The sequence below is a fragment of the Homo sapiens genome, chromosome 3 (assembly GCF_000001405.40).
Source record: "Homo sapiens chromosome 3, GRCh38.p14 Primary Assembly".
NCBI classification, from domain to species: Eukaryota; Metazoa; Chordata; class Mammalia; order Primates; family Hominidae; genus Homo; species Homo sapiens.
The window spans coordinates 134185045-134204342 of NC_000003.12; the positions used below are offsets into that span (position 1 = coordinate 134185045).

General features: G+C 38.0%; 1 protein-coding gene across 3 annotated transcripts in view; it reads right to left on the reverse strand.

The window, feature by feature from the left end:
* The window catches only part of RYK (receptor like tyrosine kinase), a 93727-nt gene that overhangs the window by 27912 nt on the left and 46517 nt on the right, over window positions 1–19298 (reverse strand). For 2 of the 3 annotated variants that reach the window (XR_007095716.1, NM_001005861.3), the window contains exons 6-9: window positions 17686–17830; window positions 10038–10138; window positions 6805–6939; window positions 3793–3879 (exon numbers count right to left, since the gene is read on the reverse strand). Coding sequence is in view for 2 of the 3 variants with exons in the window: in NM_001005861.3 (NP_001005861.1) it covers window positions 3793–3879; window positions 6805–6939; window positions 10038–10138; window positions 17686–17830 (468 nt within the window). In the remaining variant the exon portion in view is untranslated. The remainder of the gene's footprint in view (window positions 1–3792; window positions 3880–6804; window positions 6940–10037; window positions 10139–17685; window positions 17831–19298) is intronic. The other variant, NM_002958.4, reaches the window with a different exon arrangement.

Below are 19298 nucleotides of genomic sequence, written 5' to 3' on the forward strand. Positions count from 1 at the left end.
GATTGCTTGAGCCCAGGAGGTTGAGGCTGCAGTGAGCTATGATTGTGCCACTGCACTCCAGCCTGGGTGACAGAGTGAGACCCCATCTATAAATTAATTAATTAATTAAATAATAATTTATAAAGCTTCGGACCAATGCAATAAGAGGAAGAGAGAAATGTAAAAGACTGGCAAAGCCAAGATTCATATTCTAGACCCACCTAGGAAAATGCTGAACCAACAATAAAACCCACCCCACTGAATTCAGATACTATGATTGTCACATTTGGTCTTTAAATGTGGAACTGTCAAAGCTGAGAAATCTCAAATTTCATTTACTTCCACATCTACCCATTGGAATCTCATTCCTGCTTCACTTCGTCTTGCTTCACTTCCATTACTTGCTACTAAGTGTCCCCTTTCCAAGCAACTTCTCTTAGTTAAGACTTTTGTAGGAATGTAAAATGGGTAGACAAAAAGCCAAGGATCTGAAACATTCGGTACTTCTTTGGAAAAGGTGCTTCATATCAATGTCTGCTGGAATAAACTCTAAGTGTCTACAAACTGCTTGTGGGATTTCTTAGTAAATAGCAAAATGTGCCTTTATTACTCTTTCTATAACCTAAATAATTTCTAATGAAATTATGGCCAGGACTACTGGAGGCTAGTAGGATCTTTTCAAGACTGAAAACTAGTAATAGTTGGAGGTCCCTGCCCAGTTAAAAAGACTTTTACCATTCCCTCAACTGGTAAGGAGATCTAAGTACAACAAATGGTAATTTCAGAATGTGTCATTTTATACTTACTTTTTTCAAGTTTTTATTTTGATAAGCATGTTCTATTAAAGCAAAGGACACTTGAATGATGATCTAAGAAAACTCAATTAAAGATAAAATAACTTTATCCATTTAGTAAGAAAAACTCGTTTTCTTGGATTCCTTTCCCAGTCTCATCCTAGTCTTTTAATTACATAATGAAAGGTCTATCTTCAAGATGTACACATTTGAAAAGGGTACTATTAAATATATTCTAAAAGTTACAAGGATGCACAAAATGATTTTTAAAAACAAACACTTGCTTATTTACAAAACTATAAAAATTTAGTAGCTATAATAAAGAAAATAAGAACTTAATACCAGTAAATCCAAACTGATTCATTTATTTTATGGAATTCAATTTCACAATATTTAGTGTGTAAGATTCGGGTTGCTAATTTCAATCTCTGGAAATTTATACTGGAGTATCTATGAAGTCTCTGTATAAAATTATGAATATTTTTAAAAGCCAAACTCCAATTTTCTGCTTATGCCTAAAGGCAAAGGTCAGTGCTTTCTAAAACACTGTTTTTTTATTTTATGCTAAACTTCTAATTGTGCAACATGTAACAAAGCATACAGATTTGTGAAAGACCTTGGTCAGCTCTATGTGGCTACAACTAAAACCATAAAAACAGCATTCCAAAATAATCAATCTCAGAGACAGTCATGTGGCGCTATCTCTCTAACAAATTTGAGGCAATGCACTTCCCCTCTGTCCCCCATAAGGACTCACTGTGCTTTCTCTTATTTCCGCACAGCTCACAGAGAACATTATAATTACAGTGGTAAAGCACAGAAACAACCAGTGACTACAAGTCAAGCATATACGGAAAGAGAAGTCTTATCTTGTGAAACAGTCCAAGTATACTCATTGTGTTTTCTTATCACTATTATTTCCTTTTATCTCCCCTTCCAACCCTAAATCAACCCAATTTTGTATAAAAACCTCCTTCCTTAATTCAGAACAAGTCAATAATAGCCCAGTTCTACACAGTCTATAGAATACTTACAAACCCCGGAAGAAATATTTGAATTAAGGAGTTTCCTTAAAAAAAAAATGAGAAAAGAGTAACAAAAGGCTGTTGTTTAATAACCTTATAGTTCAAATTTTACATTTACAAAAAGTAATATGTAAACTCTCCTAGTCAGAAAACCTACTGGGACCTAACTTACACTTGGTCTTAGCCGAAAGGATGGACCTAACACATAAATATTACCCTTTAAAAGTGTTTTTGGTGCTGGGAAGGGGTGAATGAATAAAATAAATATTGAATGATATAGTAAATTAAACCACTTGTTTAGAAAATATTAAAGAGGTGTGTGTGTATGGATGTATTTGTAGCAGCCTTAAACAAACAATTTTGTTCAATTAAAAGCAATTCCAAAGATTTTTTGTTAGATTGGTATAACCCAACTTTTTACAACCAATAAACATAAACCCTTCATACTTTCCATGTATTCCTTTAAGTAAATTTAGAAACAGTTCTTATAAATTAACTTCATAAACTGTATAAAATTTTATCACTTTCTACTCATAAAACTGAATTTAATCTTCCCTTCAGTTTCTGAAGGGAAAGTGCTAAATTTGTTTTTAGATATTATTAGCATGTCTTCTCAATTTACATCAGACCTGATAGACATTAAGCACCCTATAAATTATCACATTTTTCTTTCTCTCTAGATAAGCAAATAAGACTTACCTCAGAATTATTATCATCATTTTTAAAAATTAAAACAGGATCTTGCTCTGTCACCTAGGCTGGAGTACAGTGGCATGATCAGGGGTCACTGCAGCCTTGAATTCCTGGGCTCAAGCAATCCTCCTGCCTCATCCTCCTGAGTAGCTGGGACTACAGGTATATGCTACCACACCCAGCTACTTTTTTTTTTTTTTTTTGTAGAGACGGGGGGTCTTGCTATATCGCCCAGGCCGATCTTGAACTTATGGACTCAAGCAATCCTCCTGCCTTAGCCTCCCAAAGCATTGGGATTACAATTGTGAGCCACTGCACCCAGCTCTTAATTCAGAACTATTTAAGCTTTCACAAGCATCTGTTGTAAGTAATTAAAATTCTAGTATTTTTTAAAGTCTTGCAAATCTACCAGTAATAGGAAATAAGCCATATGCCTGCATAAATAACACTGTAGTATCTTGATAGGGAATCTTTAATTAAATAACTTATACACATCAATAAATTAAAAATTAGGCGTCACATTTCAAACGCTGGCCCAAAAGAAGAATATGTGAAAACAGTTATTCTGTTCATGACAATATAAACCAGTGCTATCTTTTAGAGGACAATCTAACAATATATATATATATATATTTTTTTTTTTTTTTGAGACAGAGTCTCTGTCGCCCAGGCTGGAGTGCAGTGGCATGATCTCGGCTCACTGCATCCTCCGCCTCTCGGGTTCAAGCAATTCTCACACCTCAGCCTTCTGAGTAGCTGGGATTACAGGCGTGAGCCACCACGCCTGGCTAATTTTTGTATTTTTAGCAGAGACAGGGGTTTCACCATGCTGGCCAGGCTGGTCTCGAACTCCTGACCTCAGGTGATCTGGCCACCTCGGCCTCCCAAAGTGCCGGGATTACAGGCATGAGCCACTGCACCTGGGCTCTATTAAAATTTTAAATGTACACACCCTTAGGCCAGCAATTCCAACTATGGCTATACCTGCAAAAGTATACCAACACTAAACATAGTAACAATGAAATCAAGTGGATGCAGTTTGACTTGCAATTAACTGAGTAATATCTAAGAAATGTCTTATGTCTTAATTTAACAGACTTCTGTTTTTCTATACTTAATGAGAACAACCCAAATTTCCAAAACAATTAGGCTCATATAAGACAATTTTTGTTTTCAGCTAAATTAACACTGACTGATTTAAAAGGTCTGGCACACATTGGGAAACTGAGACAGAATTTTGCTGGCAGGAGCCACCTGAGACAGAAGAGCATCATGGAAATACTATGGAAAAAAGATCCTACCTTTAACTGTTTTGACAAATGCTTGTTTTTCTTTATTTGGATCTTTTTCATCTATTAAAATCCCATGGAAAATACGCCCAAAAGTACCTAAAAGGAAAAGTAATAATTAATGAGATCATACAACATTCATAAAATTATAGTACAAAACTTTCTGGCACAATATAACATAAAACAAAAATAACAAGGTCATATGTGATCAACATTACTGTAGCCCTAGAGTAAAAAGACCCAAATCTTTGGTTTTAACGACTGTTAAAAGTTTTTTGTGACTATTACACATCTTAACTTGCTTTCAGAAACACCATATCTAAACTAAGTATATGAAAATTTTCCTGAATTATACTAAATAAACTAATGATATAGCCAGGAGCATTGGAGCTCAGTAATGAGGTATCCACAATGGCATTTATGAGTTTCTAGGCTTAGCCTCAGAGAAATGACGAAAAGACAAAAATGAACTTTCCTCTCTACCGCAGAGCCTTAAAAAGTAGCTTCAAGGGAAGGCCAGGGAGTACAAGTTTTGGATCCAGACAGTCCTGGGTTCCATTCCTTCTACCACTCACTCCTCAGAAGGTCTCAGACAAGCCAATTAGACTCTCGGTTCACTGGTAAAATGTGTTCCTAAAAACTCTTAGAGTGAGAAGAGGCTGCGCGCGGCTCACGCCTGTAATCCCAGCACTTTGGGAGGCCGAGGCAGGCGGGTCATGAGGTCAGGAGATTGAGACCATCGTGGCTAACACGGTGAAACCCCGTCTCTACTAAAAATACAAAAAAAAATACAAAAAAATTAGCCGGGCGTGGGAGGCTGAGGCAGGAGAACAGCATGAACCCGGGAGGTGGAGCCTGCAGTGAGCCAAGATTGTGCCACTGCACTCCAGCCTGGGCAACAGAACGAGACTCCGCCAAAAAAAAAAAAAAAAAAAACAAAAAACAAAAACTCTTATAGTAATAAGAGAAGTTAGTTATGACCTTTGCGGGTGCTAGGGAAGGAACTAAGAAAATCCATCTAGATTTTATTACCAATTTTGTAATTGCCCATAGAAAACTCCCAAACAAGATGATCACTGAAAATGAATCTCATTTTACTCTTTCTCACTAGAAAATTGTTTACTTTCCTTCCTTCACAATTTAAAAGATAAGCTTGCAAATAGTTTCACTTTGCTGCAGATACCATGCATACAAATAGGCTTGCTCTAATGCCTTCCACTCTATGAGGTGGAGTTGTTGGTATCCATGTATCATCAGGTTTCACTGTGGCCTAGAGACAGAGTAACTTGTATGCTCAAGGCAGAAAAGACTTTGGATAATCTTCATTTAAGACATTTTGCTTGAAGCTGAGTAAATATCTTCAAACACTCTAGTCAATACATAGAGCTACACACCCTGACCTGTCTTCCTCACAAAGGTTTTCCCTTCTCTCTCCAGCCAAGTTCACCTTGCTTGACTGAGCTTCTTAACTCTCTTGCACTGAAGCACTGCAAAACCTCCTGTCTCCTCTTCCCAGTACCTAGTCCCATTTTTAAATATTACTCTCAAACACAGATTTACATATACTTAAAAACAATGGAAGTAAGGAACATACACAAAAATATATATGTACATATTACTTTACCACAATGTTACAGCAATTCACATTCCTACCAGCAATGTAAAAGAGCATGTGTTCCTCCATACCCGTCAACCTAGAAATTATCTTTTTACTTTTTCACAAACTAACGTAAAAAAAAAAAATCGCATGTAACTATTGTTTTCTTTGCATTTATCAGATTTCCAGTGAACCTGACCACCTTTTTAAATGTTAATCAGCCACCATATTTTCTTTTCTGAAATCAAAAGAATTTTAAAATAAACTATTATGGGCCTGAAAAGACCAATAAAGAAAAACTCTACCTGGTTCAGAATTCCTTCTTCTCAAATCATACCACTACAACAGATTGCCTATTCTATCCCATTCAGAGACCAAAAGAAACTGCAAATATAACATTAATTGATCTCTCATTTTTTTTTATTCTTTAGGAAATGCTACCTGGTCTACTTACTCTCTTCAGATTGCAAAAAGATCTGCAAACTAGTTATGCTTAGAAAACAGTCAACTATTAACAAGTGGCAATCATGCATTTTAAGACATACCAGAAAATCTGCTTCCATTAATTACCATTTGCTACTGGGGACAGTTTAAGTACCTGACTTAGCTGTGATTGACCTAAATGTGTCCCAACCAGCAAAGGAATACATAAGGAGGACTCATAAGTATCCAAAGCATTCCAAACTGAATTACAGTGGAGGTAAAAAAGTAATTCTCTATTTAACAACATGAAGAGCTCAGTGCAGTATTTTATTATTAATTTCTGTCTTCTTCTTTCAGCATCTCCCTAATCAATACCCTCCAATTCAAAAAGGAAAGCAAGGCCCAGTGAGAGGTGAAGGGAAGCATACTAACACCTGGCAAACACTATTATGTGTTCATTCATTTACTGTACCTAATTTCATCTCATCTTTATAACTAGTCTAAGAGATGACAACGCAGTCCAAATTTATAGAGGAGGGAACTGGAGACTGAAGACATTACGTGATTTCTCCAAAGCCACACGGAGAATAAAATGTGGGATTGGAACTAAGGACCAAAACCAAAGCCCAAGCCCATGTCCATTCCTTCCGCTACAACCCCCAAGTTATCCGTCAGAGAGAAAGTAACTTAGACTATCTCAGAGAGACCTGCCAGGTAGTGGCCATTTTAAATAAAAACCAAACAGAGAATACACCTTAAATATAGCCAACAATAATATACGTGCTTTAATATACTTGAAAATCAAGAACTGCACCAAAGTTGTACAAGGCCCATTCAAGTATAGGAGCAAATGAAAATAATTTTTATAAAAGAAAAACCATACACTGCTTCCTATCCTTATCTTAGACACAAAATGAGATGAAATTTTTTAAATTTTTGAAAAAAGTGTCTATAGTGGTAACATTAAATCATACTTAAAAAACCGACTTTGAGATAATAAATACCTTCTTGGAGTACATCTTTTAGAGTTATCCTCTCTCTGGATATTGCTATATCCTTCACCTTGCCTTTGGCCTCCAAAAGAGTGACACTTCTCAAGTCGTTCTTCTCTATCCGCAAGGTAGGATAACCTAAGGAGCCAACAAAGCCAAACCAAGCAATATAAATACCCTTATTATGGTATTGGAGTCAACTAGTTCAGTTAGAACCTCAGGACTCAGGTCACAGGAATGAGTGTAAGAATCATAAAAGGAAACAGGCATATATATGAACTAGGAGAGTTATTTGAAGGCCACACTAAATGTTAAAGAAATGTCTCCTCACCCACCACAATACTACTCCAAAATGTTAAAATTCTGAACTGCAACAAGAAATCCTAAAAATAGTATTACCATGACCACCACTTCAATTGCCTTTTAGCCAAATGAAACAAGCTTTGATCTGTGAAATTTCATTTAATCCTTCTTATGGACAGTTTTTCTCCCAAAAGGTTTTCTAATATAGTCTCATAACACACCAACTTTTCAAATGAAGACATGTTTGAAAAGATTTTTTTCAAACATCTCTTCATTTGAAAAGTTGTTTTGTTTGAACAAACAAAAAGTTTCAAACAGAAAGTTATTTTTGTTTGAAAAGGCTTTTTTCAAACAAAATACATAATCAATGTAATTATTCTGGTATTACCACATCCTAGTAAAACCATTGTGAGATTCAAATTTAATAAGTTCCCTTAATTCCCATTCATTCTTAATTCAATGACAGTAAAAACAGAATTTACAGCCACAAATTAGTTTTCACTTCAAGAAAAAAAATGTTAGAATAAAAGGAAAATCTGGCTTTAGCAAGTAGAAGTTGGAATGGCATCTCCAGATAATGGGAAGAAACCTCCCCCCAAAATTAGTGGACCTATGCAATGATCATCAATGGTTGCCAGGAGAACCACATGAAAAGTTTTGGGCAACTTTACAATGCATGTAGACTGACACCACCTGAAACCACTGATTGGCAGCAGTTTGACTGTGATAGACTGTCTAGGTGTGTGAGTATATGTGAATGTTTAATTCTACCTGGAGTTCTCTTAGTTTCCTGGATCTGTGATCTGTTGCGTTGTTATCTTAGAAAATTCTTGGCTACTATGTCTTCAAATATTTTTTTCTTCCTCTTTTTCTATCTGTAAACAAATGTATTTCTATTGACTTTTTTAAAAAGTGTTTGTTTTCAGTATATATATATGTAGTAAGTAAATTATCTAGCTCCTTACGGTAATGGCCATGATTACAAACAAGTAAATTTCTTATTGATGGCAACAATTTTTAAAAGATAAATAAATTTATTTCCCTTGACTTTTTTTTTTTTTTGAGACGGAGTCTCACTCTGTTGCCTAGGCTGGAGTGCAGTGGCGTGATCTCAGCTCACTGCAAGCTCCACCTCCTGGGTTCACGCCATTCTCCTGCCTCAGCCTCCCAAGTAGCTGGGACTACAGGCGCGAGCCACCACACCCAGCTAATTTTTTGTATTTTTAGTAGAGATGGGGTTTCACCGTGTTAGCCAGGATGGTCTTGATCTCCTGACCTCATGATCCGCCCGCCTTGGCCTCCCAAAGTGGTGGGATTACTGGCAAGAGCCACCACACCCGGCCCCTTTGACTTTTTTAAGAAAGTATTTTAGCATGTATAACAACAATTCCCTACCTCTTTGAGGTCACGTATAACAATTAAGAATCCATTCTAATGAGCAAAGATTGATATTTAAACATTAAAAGCAATGATGTGCCTCTTCTGAGTAGCTTAAACTACTTTCACATCTATCGTATTTCCTAAAAAGCATATATTTCTTTCTTCATTAGTGGGAAGAGTAGCTGCTATTATTATTTCCCTTAAATTTTGTTTACTGTATAATGCCTTCTTTCCTCCTTTTTTCTTGCCACTGTCTTATTGAAGAAACTGGGTCGGCTACCCTGGAAAATGTTTGGCCTCTACTTCTTCAAGTAGTATTTCCTGTAAACTGTAAGTCAGGTCTATAACCTTGATCAGATCCAGGTTAACTTGTAGGGGGTGCAGCAGGGACAGAAAAGAATGCTCCATGAATGGTACATCATATCCTTGGGTACGAAATACCTAGGTCCCCTACTTTTAGTAATGCTGAGTTCATCAGTGTATTCAGGTGGTGACAGCCTGATCCCTCAATGGCAGAGTTCCCCATTTTCCTTTCAATCACTGATGATCTTTTTCTGAATCAACTATTTTATCAGGAGTTGCACATGTGATTTTCTAATTATATAATTTCTTCCACATTTATTAGCTGAGAATCATCTGTAAAGAAAAATTTTCTCTCATCCACCAGCACCATCTGGTTAACCTGAAATACAGTTCATGTAGTCAGTTGGTAGAGTAAGGTATTCACTGGAGCCTTAGTCACCTCTCATAATGAACAATTTTGTTAAATAATGTATTATTACAAATTTGTGGATTTTTACACATTTTACGTTTTAATTCATTATAGTCATTATTCATTTTGATGATCAAATGGTCCTATCTTTAGCCAGTGGAAGCTCTTCAAGTCTTAGCTATTTCCTTGATATCTGACTCAGCAACATGTCCCAGGCTTATCTTGTTCACTTCCTAACTCAGACCTGGAATCAGCCATTTCTCCAAAAAATCCTGGTTCTTTTTCATGGGAGACAGTACTGGAAAACCACAATAGGGCACTGGGTAGAGGACAGATATCTTAATCTTATTTTACTAAAGAATAAATGCCAGTCCAAAAAAGGAAATCAGATCCGACATTCTCAACTTTCCAGTGGTAGCTAACTTCCTATTATGATTAAAAAACAATGTAAAGTCTTCACCATGGCCCATAAGACCATCAAACAATTCCTTACAGTCTAAAGTCTCTGTCTTTATGCAGCTCAATAGTTAATTCCATATAGTTACCTGAAAAATCTTCCTTTTGAATTTCTATAGAAGTGACTTAGTAGCCCTTTTAGTATAATAAATCTATGGAAATCTCCCGAAAGCCACACCAATTCTAGCAAACTTAAATTTCATTTTTGATACCTCAATTTTAGAATGTTTCATTCAATGCTCTAGAAAGCAAAAGTTGAAGAGCATACCTAATTTTGCATACTTTAGATACGATTTACACAACATGTCCCACAAGTACACTAACCATGCAAGACCACTGGGAAGCAGCATAGACAACTTGAGTAAACTGGCTTTAGAATTAAATTAACTCTTACTGGTGATAGGAGTTGCATTGTTGGGCGTGTCTGCTCTCAGATACTGAGTCGTCTGGGTGGATGGCTGAGACAGCCCTTGGGAACTACTGCTGGCACTAATGCTGCAAACAATTTTTGAGAGAAATATTTGACAAGTCAGTTTCAATGAGAAATTTCCTTTTTCCATACATACAAAATGCACATAGCCATTAAAACCAGCCTAAAATCCTTACGGAGATCACAATAATTCATGATGTTCCAATACTGATATTTTAATCTAACTCCTATAGAGCTCTATTTTTTCTTTCATTTCTATCTCCAAAATCATTAAGCGAGTTCATCTTATCAAAATTATTCAGAAATGTAGGTACTAGTGCTCAGACACCTCAGCTAATTGTCCTAAACTTCACACACAAATATGTTAGGGAACTACGGATCATCTCTCAAAAAAAGAGCCCATGTCATTCAATTAGATTGCTTTTTAGAAAAGAAGAAGAAAGACAGGCCTCTTTCAATGATGGCCCAATATCAAATGGCCTACAGATAAAGAAAGAGCAAACCAAATCAAATGTGCCAACATGCTCGGAGCTTAGAAAGGAGTATTGGCCAGGTGCGGTGGCTCACGCCTGTAATCCCAACACTTTGGGAGGCCAAGGCGGACAGATGACTGGAGGTCAGGAGTTCGACACCAGTATGGCCTACATGGTGAAACCCTGTCTCTACTAAAAGTACAAAATTAGCCGGGCATGGTGACGCGTGCCTGTAGTCCCAGTTACTCGGGAGGCTGATGCAGGAGAATCGCTTGAATCTGGGAGGTGGAGTTTGCAGTGAGTCAAGATTACGCCACTGCACTCCAGCCTGGGCGATAAAGTGACAGTCCATCTCAAAAAAAAAAAAAGTATCAAATTTGGTTCAAGTTTATTTAAACACAATACATTTTGCTTCTTCTACTTCCCCAATCCCTCCCTTTCATCCAACTTCTGGGAAATCTCTAGTACTTGAAACACTACACCATATTCTCTAAATAATACAGGACACCAAGAAGATGATAGGTTCAAATAATTGTAAACCTTGTGTTCAAGATTACTGCAAAGTAATGCTGCTCAAGCATGTAGTTTTGTCTTTTCAGTGGGGAGAAACCTTGTCTCGTGGGTACATTTCGGTCTCACTGCCTTAGTTCTTATAATTTTGCAGCAGTGGAGACGTGAAACATAGAAATTCAGCATGAAGGGTGAAACCAGATAGCAGGATAGGTCTTTCAATGCCTCTCTTAGCTACAGGATCAGCAGTGCCCAATCAAGTCTCCAACTTTCCTTAATATGCAAAATCTTTTAACTGACCACTTCCCACATAATAATTCTGTATTTTCAAAAACTGGTGATTTAAAAAAATACATAATAAAGCTGAGTGCGGTGTGAAGCCTGTAGCTGCAGCTATTTGGAAGGCTGTTAGGCAGATCACTTTAGTCCAGGAGTTTGACGCCAGCCTGGGCAACATAGTGAGACCCTGTCTCTGAAACAAAACACACACACACACACACACACACACACACACACACACACACACACGGCTGCTATGTAATCTATAACATTTATATATGAATGTTTATCAATTTCAAGAGCCCATACACAAATCTGAAAAATGTAAATATATAACATCCAGGCAATGAGGACTGTAAGTCTTTATGTAGCCTTTCTATGGCTAATAATACAATATACTACTATCTGCTATTGTAACCAAACATCTGTAGAAAGTCATAGCAAAAATTAAGATAGAAATGTCCTGCAATAAACATTTGGAGAGCACTTATAATATGCAAACCATTCTGCTCAGCACAACCATAGATCTCAAGATACATGTTTGCCTAATGAAATGCCCCCCCAGCATGCCTTCCCTGAAGATGTCCATCATTTTAGGTTATCTATTAGATTGGTGCAAAAGTAATTGCAAATTGCAGTTTTTGTCATTGCTTTTAATGCTATTGCTTTTAATGACAAAAACTGCAATTACTGCACCAACCTGATACTTCTTCTTGTGATGCTGCAGTTAGCCCTGTTTCTCCAGCAACTCTGCGAAGATACTTTGCAACTCAAAGAGACTATAATAAAGATTCATTAGGCTATCATCTGGTCAGAGTGCTGGAAGAGCTTCTTTGGCTCAACGTTATTACAGAATTGATCTATATGAGTTTATAATGCAGTGGGTATAGGTCAATATAGAAAAGAGATGAAGAGCATAAACCGTGAAGTCAGAACTGCCAGTATCATCGATTACTAGCTGTACGGCCTAGGACAAACTATTTAATCCTCTGGAACCTCAAATTCCCGTGGACAGAGTGTGCATAACACTATCCTCTGATAAGATTGCTAAAACGATTACATGAAAAATAAATAAGTAAAGCATTTATTGCCTAGCCCTCAAACATATCTTTATAAATTATTGTTACTAATTTATAGTATACTACTATAGTTATATTAATTATGTGAATATTATGCATCTCCAGTCGTTAGAGCAAAAAGGGATTACAGGACTCTGTTTTACAGTTGAGTACCACTCAAAAATCAAACCAGATATCAAAGCTGTTAGAAGTCCAGACTTCAATAATGGGGAGGGAAGAGGAGCATTACCATCCTCAAAAGGGGAGGAAATAAATGGGATTAAGATAATCTACCTCACAGGATTTTTGTGAGGCTCAAATTGTATGAGATATGTGAAAGTACTTCTTAAGTATTATCTGCAACCAACATCACTGATGACTAAGTGCACAGACACAGTCTCTCCATTAACTTAACAGTAGGTGGCACTCTTGTGCTACCTCAGAATTTTTGAAAAGACTGTAGGCACACAAAGGCGTTACAGGGACATCTATGTCAATTTTTCATTCCCTCAACAGATATTAAGTGGGTCCCTAAAATAAGCAAAGCACTATGCTAAGTGGTCAGAACGAAATTTTTTTTTGAATCCAAGACTTACTGTTATGATAGAAGCAAGAAGCAATTAGGGACCTACCCCTGACATCCATTAAAGTCAACACCTACATAGCTATATCACAAGAGGTGGAAAATGAGATTAAAATGTATATTTGCTAGCACTTAATAGTTTATAGCCAGTCTAAATAAATTATCAATCTAAATAGATTATCTCATTTGATTTTCAAAAGCAAGTAAAATTATGTATGGAGATACTAACCCTGTCTTAGAATGAAGTCAGAACTTTGGGAAAGATCATAATTTTCCTTCAAAACACTGACAACAATTTGTACTTTTCTATTTTTCTCTGTAACTCCACTTCATCCATTCATTCCACAAATATTTATTAAGTATCTACTACATGTCAGGTACTGTACTGGGTGCTAGAGATACAGCAATGAATGCAACAGACAAAGACTGTGACCCCTACATTCCAGTAAGGATTTTTTTTGTTTAATATCTGTCTCATCCAACCAGACTATAAACTCCACAAAGGCAGGACAAGTGCCTGTTTATTCACCTCTCCTTCCCCAGCACTTATGCCAGTACCTGGCACAATAAGCCGCAAGTGGGCCAGAGTGAGCCCCAGTGACAGCTCAACTAACACTGAGTCAATCAATGAACAGAGAAAACCACGCTTCCCTGGGACAGAAAACATAAACCAGACAGAATGGTCATTTCTGGCACAAACTATTGTGAAAAAAGCAAAGAATGATTGGTAAAACAAAATGGTTTTTTTCCTCCCTCTATTCATTGGTTATTCAACCAAATAGTTACTGAGTATTTTACTATGTGTCAGACAGTTAGGCATTAAATATAAAATCAAAGATTTTAAAGGGAAACTCTGTCACCAGTAATGGCATGGGGGCGGTGGTGGGGATAATGGAAACTGGAAGAGAAAAATTAAGATGCTGCCAGATGACAAGTTCAAGCATCCCACAAAGGAGTAATAAACTTTCCCACAGTCACAAACTAACAGGGAAAGACTACAGTAGAGACACGCTGCAGACCAACCCCTCTGCAGGACTTCAGGGTGAATGTAAAGAGAAGCTCTGCCTATCCAGGACAGACTCATCAGGCGTAACAAAGAGACTGAAAAGATCAATTTGCAGTGTTGAGAGAGGGAAAGCCACACACATGAGCTCCAACTGCCCTGGCATGGGCATATCTCAGGCAGTGTTAATTCTCTGCCTCTAATGAGATCTGTTTATAACAAGCAGTGGCTCCTAAGTGCCTGGAATGGAAGAACACTACCATCCCTTTCTAATGAATTCCACGGAGCCATGGGCTCCATCTAACCTCACCAGACTGTGTGAGGATTAACGGAGTTCATGAATGTAAAGCACAGGGAACAGTGCCTGGCACACAGCAAGTGTTTTATACAATGACAATAGTGGATTATTAACACATAGCTATTACAACACTGAGTCCCGCCTGCTCTGCCCTGCTCCTAGAAGAGCAATCCTGAAAAAGTTATTTAATCTCTTCAAGCCTATTTCTAGGTGGCTGTGTTAAGATAATACATATAAAGTACCTGGGGTACAGTACTGGTAAACAGAAAACACTCAATAAATGGTAATCCCAGTGGCCCCTATGCAGAGAGAGAAGCAGCAGATGTCTCTTAAATGCTGTTGGATAACTGGATGTGAGCTTTCTGGTCACCACTGTTAGCTTGCCTGGCAGGTAATAAATAATTGTTAATAGGACAGGAAAGGGCAGAAGAACTTTGTCCATCACTACTAGTGAGAGGTGAAGCTGGCTGGGCTTCTGGGTCGGGTGGGGACTTGGACAACTTTTCTGTCTAGCTAAAGGATTGTAAATGCACCAAACGGCACTCTGTGTCTAGCTAAAGGTTTGTAAACGCACCAATCAGTGGTCTGTGTCTAGCTAATCAGGTAGGGGACTTTGAGAACTTTTCTGTCTAGCTAAAGGTTTGTAAACGCACCAATCAGCACTCTGTAAAAACAGACCAATCAGCACTCTGTAAAACGGACCAATCACCACTCTGTAAAATGGGCCAATCAGCTCTCTGTAAAATGGACCAATCAGCAGGATGTGGGTGGGGCCAAATAAGGGAAAAAAAGCAGGCCACCCAAGCCAGCAGCGGCAACCTGCTTGGGTCCCCTTCCACGCTGTGGAAGCTTTGTTCTTTCGCTCTTCACAATAAATCTTGCTGCTGCTCACTCTTTGGGTCCGCACTACCTTTATGAGCTGTAACACTGCGAAGGTCTGCAGCTTCACTCCTAAAGCCAGTGAGACCACGAACCCACCAGGAGGAACGAACCACTCCGGATGCACCACCTTTAAGAGCTATAACACTCACTGCGAAGGTCTGCGGCTTCACTCCTGAAGTCAGTGAGACCATGAACCCACCAGAAGGGAAGAAACTCCGGACACATCTGAACATCTGAAGGAACAAACTCCAGACACACCATCTTTAAGAACTGTAACACTCACCGCGAGAGTCCGCGGCTTCATTCTTGAAGTCAGCAAGACCAAGAACCCACCAGAAGGAACCAATTCTGGACATACTAGCATATTGCAACTTTATTAAAAACTTCATAAAATGCCATTTACTATACGTAGGGCTCTGTTTTAAGAGCTTACTGTATTTCATTAAAACCTCACAACATACCTACTAGGTGTGTATTTCTGCTTTACAGAGGAGAACTGAGACACACATAGGCTATATAACTTAATCCATGTAGCCCATAAAACTAGTAAACAGAATAGCCAGGCTTCAAACAGAGATGGTCTGGCTCTAGAGTCCGTACTCTTGACCACTAGACTATGCTCTGAAAACGTGATAATATAAGCTGGTTTTACTCAGGTAATGTCTGGAAACTTTTGCCTGAAAACTAAAGAGAACTGGAACACCAATTCATGGATGGTAACTAATTATTTCAGCAGGCAGAGGTAGATGCCCCATGGAATCTGAAAGTTATTGCAAAATTCTGGCCTATGTGGGCTCACAGCCCTAGCACGCATGCAAGCATTCAAGGAAAACGCAACTCTCTGGCTATATCAAGACTGACTTCCAAATGTCATGCTCTTCAGTCACCTCTCTACCTGTATCCTCTCTCAAAGTCCTATCAAAATGTTCCCTCAATCGCTTCCAAATGCCATTTCTTCCCCTGTAAAATCTAAACCTAACTTCACCACCATCATGTACACAAAACATATTCTGAAACAAATCATATACGTACTTCCTTCTCATTCGTATCCCTTTTCTCTTCTTTCTCCACACAGAAATGGAAAATAAAACAGTGGGGACAAAGAGTACTAAGGGGCAGGTATTGAATCCAACCAGCTCCCTTCCCCTTCATATTCTTACGCCACAAATATGCTTCCCAGCTGCATGTTAAGACTAATTAGGACTGGTGACTCAACAATGAGTAAGACACACTGCTCCCTAACTGGAAAAAGCTTACATTCTAAAGGTAAGACAATTACACAAAAAATTATAGAAGAAAAAGTGCAATAACTGCTACGAGAGAGAGAGAGACAGAGACAGAGACAAAGAGAAAGGGGTGTTTGGGAGGCTTAGAAAAGACTTCATGAAAGAGACAGCAATGGAGCTGGAATTTGAAGAACGGACCAAGTTTGGACTGGTGGAAAATGCATGGAGGCTTGTGGGAAGAAGAAAGCATGAACAAAAGTCCTGAAGGGCAAAGTGTGGGGCGAAAGTGAGGAATAAGTGATCATTTGACTGGAGCGCAAGTAAGGATACAGCAATAAGAGGAGAAAAGGTTCAAAGAGTATGGATGATACGTCTCCACATAAAGGAGGGCTTTCAAAGAAGTCACAAAGCTGGGGCATGTCTTCAGGCAGCAACTGGAAATCACAGAGGAGGGAAGTAAGAAGTGTTTGTTATGAAAATAAACCTATCATTCCATCTGTACCTCTCACCCTAACTTGACTATAATGTCCTCCTTGTCATCTCTGACTCACTGAGGCTGGACAAGCACCTTTTGTATTCACACACTTTACTATACATATCACAGTCATCAAATTACATACTTTTATAATTACAGGTTAATGTAAAAGATTAAAATCTTGAAACTATAAAGTATATCATTCTTTCTTTCTGTTCCCAGCACTTAGCATAGTATCTAACCCAGTATATCTCAAACTGGCTGTACATTAGAATCATCCAGGAAGCTTTATGAAAAATACTGATCCCCAAATACTACCACAAACCAACTGCATCAAAATCTCTGGAAGGTGGACCCAAATACCAGTATGTTTTCAAAGCTTCTCCTTGACTCTAATGTGTAACCAGGTTGAGAACCAATGGTTTAAATCAGAGCAGGTGCTCAATACATGTTTACTGGATGGATGGAGGGAGGAAGAGAGAAAGGGAGAATGATGAAGGCAAGATCTAGAAGGAAGAAACAGGGCTATTTTGAAAAGGCAATGGTCTGAGGTAGAGTCATGTCAAAGGGAATAGAAAAAACTACTTGTTCTCCACTTCTTCCTCAACAACTAAAAAACTAATTTCTGACTTCTTAATTTTTAAAAAATAAAAATAAAATCAGAGAAACCAGAGACAGTGATTAGGTCATCTTATTTTTCCTTTGGCTGGGGCTTAATCATCCTCCCTCCTTTCCCTGCACCACTGTGCATCGATGTGTATGGGCTCCCACATATATACAAATAACTGCTTTCATTTTTTTTCTTTCCCAAAATATGTACAATACCTGTCATCCAGTTCAATCCTTTTCATACTATGAAGGTGCAAAACAGCTAATATTATTGCTACGAGAAATATTACTGCACAACAAACCCCTACACTAATATAAAACACACGCGTAGAAGTGGTTGGAGCTGCATGTACAGGATCATCTGAAATAAAAACAAAAAGCACATTTAGCTTTTTAAACAAATATGACTGCTTTGTGACCCAATATACATAAATAAGTATTCTGTTCTTTTCATGTGCCCATTCTTTGTAAGATCAGTTACCAGTAGCATATTGGTGGAAGTTCACATAATTTTTTTGATGTTTTTGTTGTAGTTTAAAAAAAATATTTTAGGCCAGGTGTGATGGCTCACGCCTGTAATCCCAGCACTTCGGGAGGCCAAGGCAGGTGGATCACCTTGAGGTCAGGAGTTTGAGACCACCCTGGCCAATATGGTGAAACCCCGCCTCTACTAAAAGTACGAAAATTAGCTGGGCATGGTGGCAGGCACCTGTAATCCTAGCTACTCAGGAGGCTGAGGCATGAGAATCGCTTGCACCTGGGAGGCAGAGGTTGCAGTGAGCCGAGATCGCTCCACTGTACTCCAGCGTGGGCGACAGACCATCTATGGACTATTCTTACCAAAAGAGTTGGTTCTAAATCTAATCAAGTGCAAAATCTACCTGCCAGTTTACAGAAAAAAAAAATGTTCAATGATTTCAGGAAGATGCAGAATGTGGGAAAGTCTATGGGACAAATGGTATAATTTCTTCAATAAATAAAATTAATAAAAGGGTTGGTGGTTTCTGATTAATACAAAAGTCAACAGACCTTACTAATGGATTGTACCAAAGTAGAAAGAAAAAGAAGAATGAAAAGTTTTGGCTTAAGCAATAACTTGGATAAGGGTACCTTTACAAAGATTAAAAAAAAGAAAGAAAAAAGATTTTAAATAGAATTTTTGGCTAATGAGTATAACAGTCACTCACAAGTGGTATACATAAAACATACCAGTGCATAAAATATACTACAGCAGTGCTGTCCAACAGAACTTTCTGCAGTGACGAAAATGTTCTCTAGAGTACTGTCCAATACAGTAGCCACTGGTCACCTGTGGCTATTAAGCATTCAAATATAAGTACAACTAAAGCTACTGAAATGTAGTTAGTAAAACTGAGGAACTGATGTTTTAATTTTACTTCACTGTAATTAAAGTTAAAAAGCCACATGTGGCTAGCAGTTACCATACTAGACAGTGCAGATCTATATATTCTTCATATTTCTTCAACAACAATGTTTGGGTTAGAGGAATCAGACATCATTTTGTTGCCAGGGACCACTGACTCACAGAAGACTGAGTGACAGAAGGGTCCACAAGTTTATAAAAACATTTATTCTTTTTTGAGAGTACAACAGAAATTGTTTTGCTTTTCTGTTTTTAAAGGCTCTATTCATTAAATAAAATGATACTCAGCTTTATATTATTTTAAAAAGAGAGGCAAGCTGGGTGCCGTGGCTCACACCTGTAATCCCAGCGCTTTGGGAGGCTGAGGTGGGTGATCCCTTGAGGTCAGGAGTTTGAGACCAGCCTGACCAACATAGTGAAACCCCATCTCTACTGAAAAAAAAAT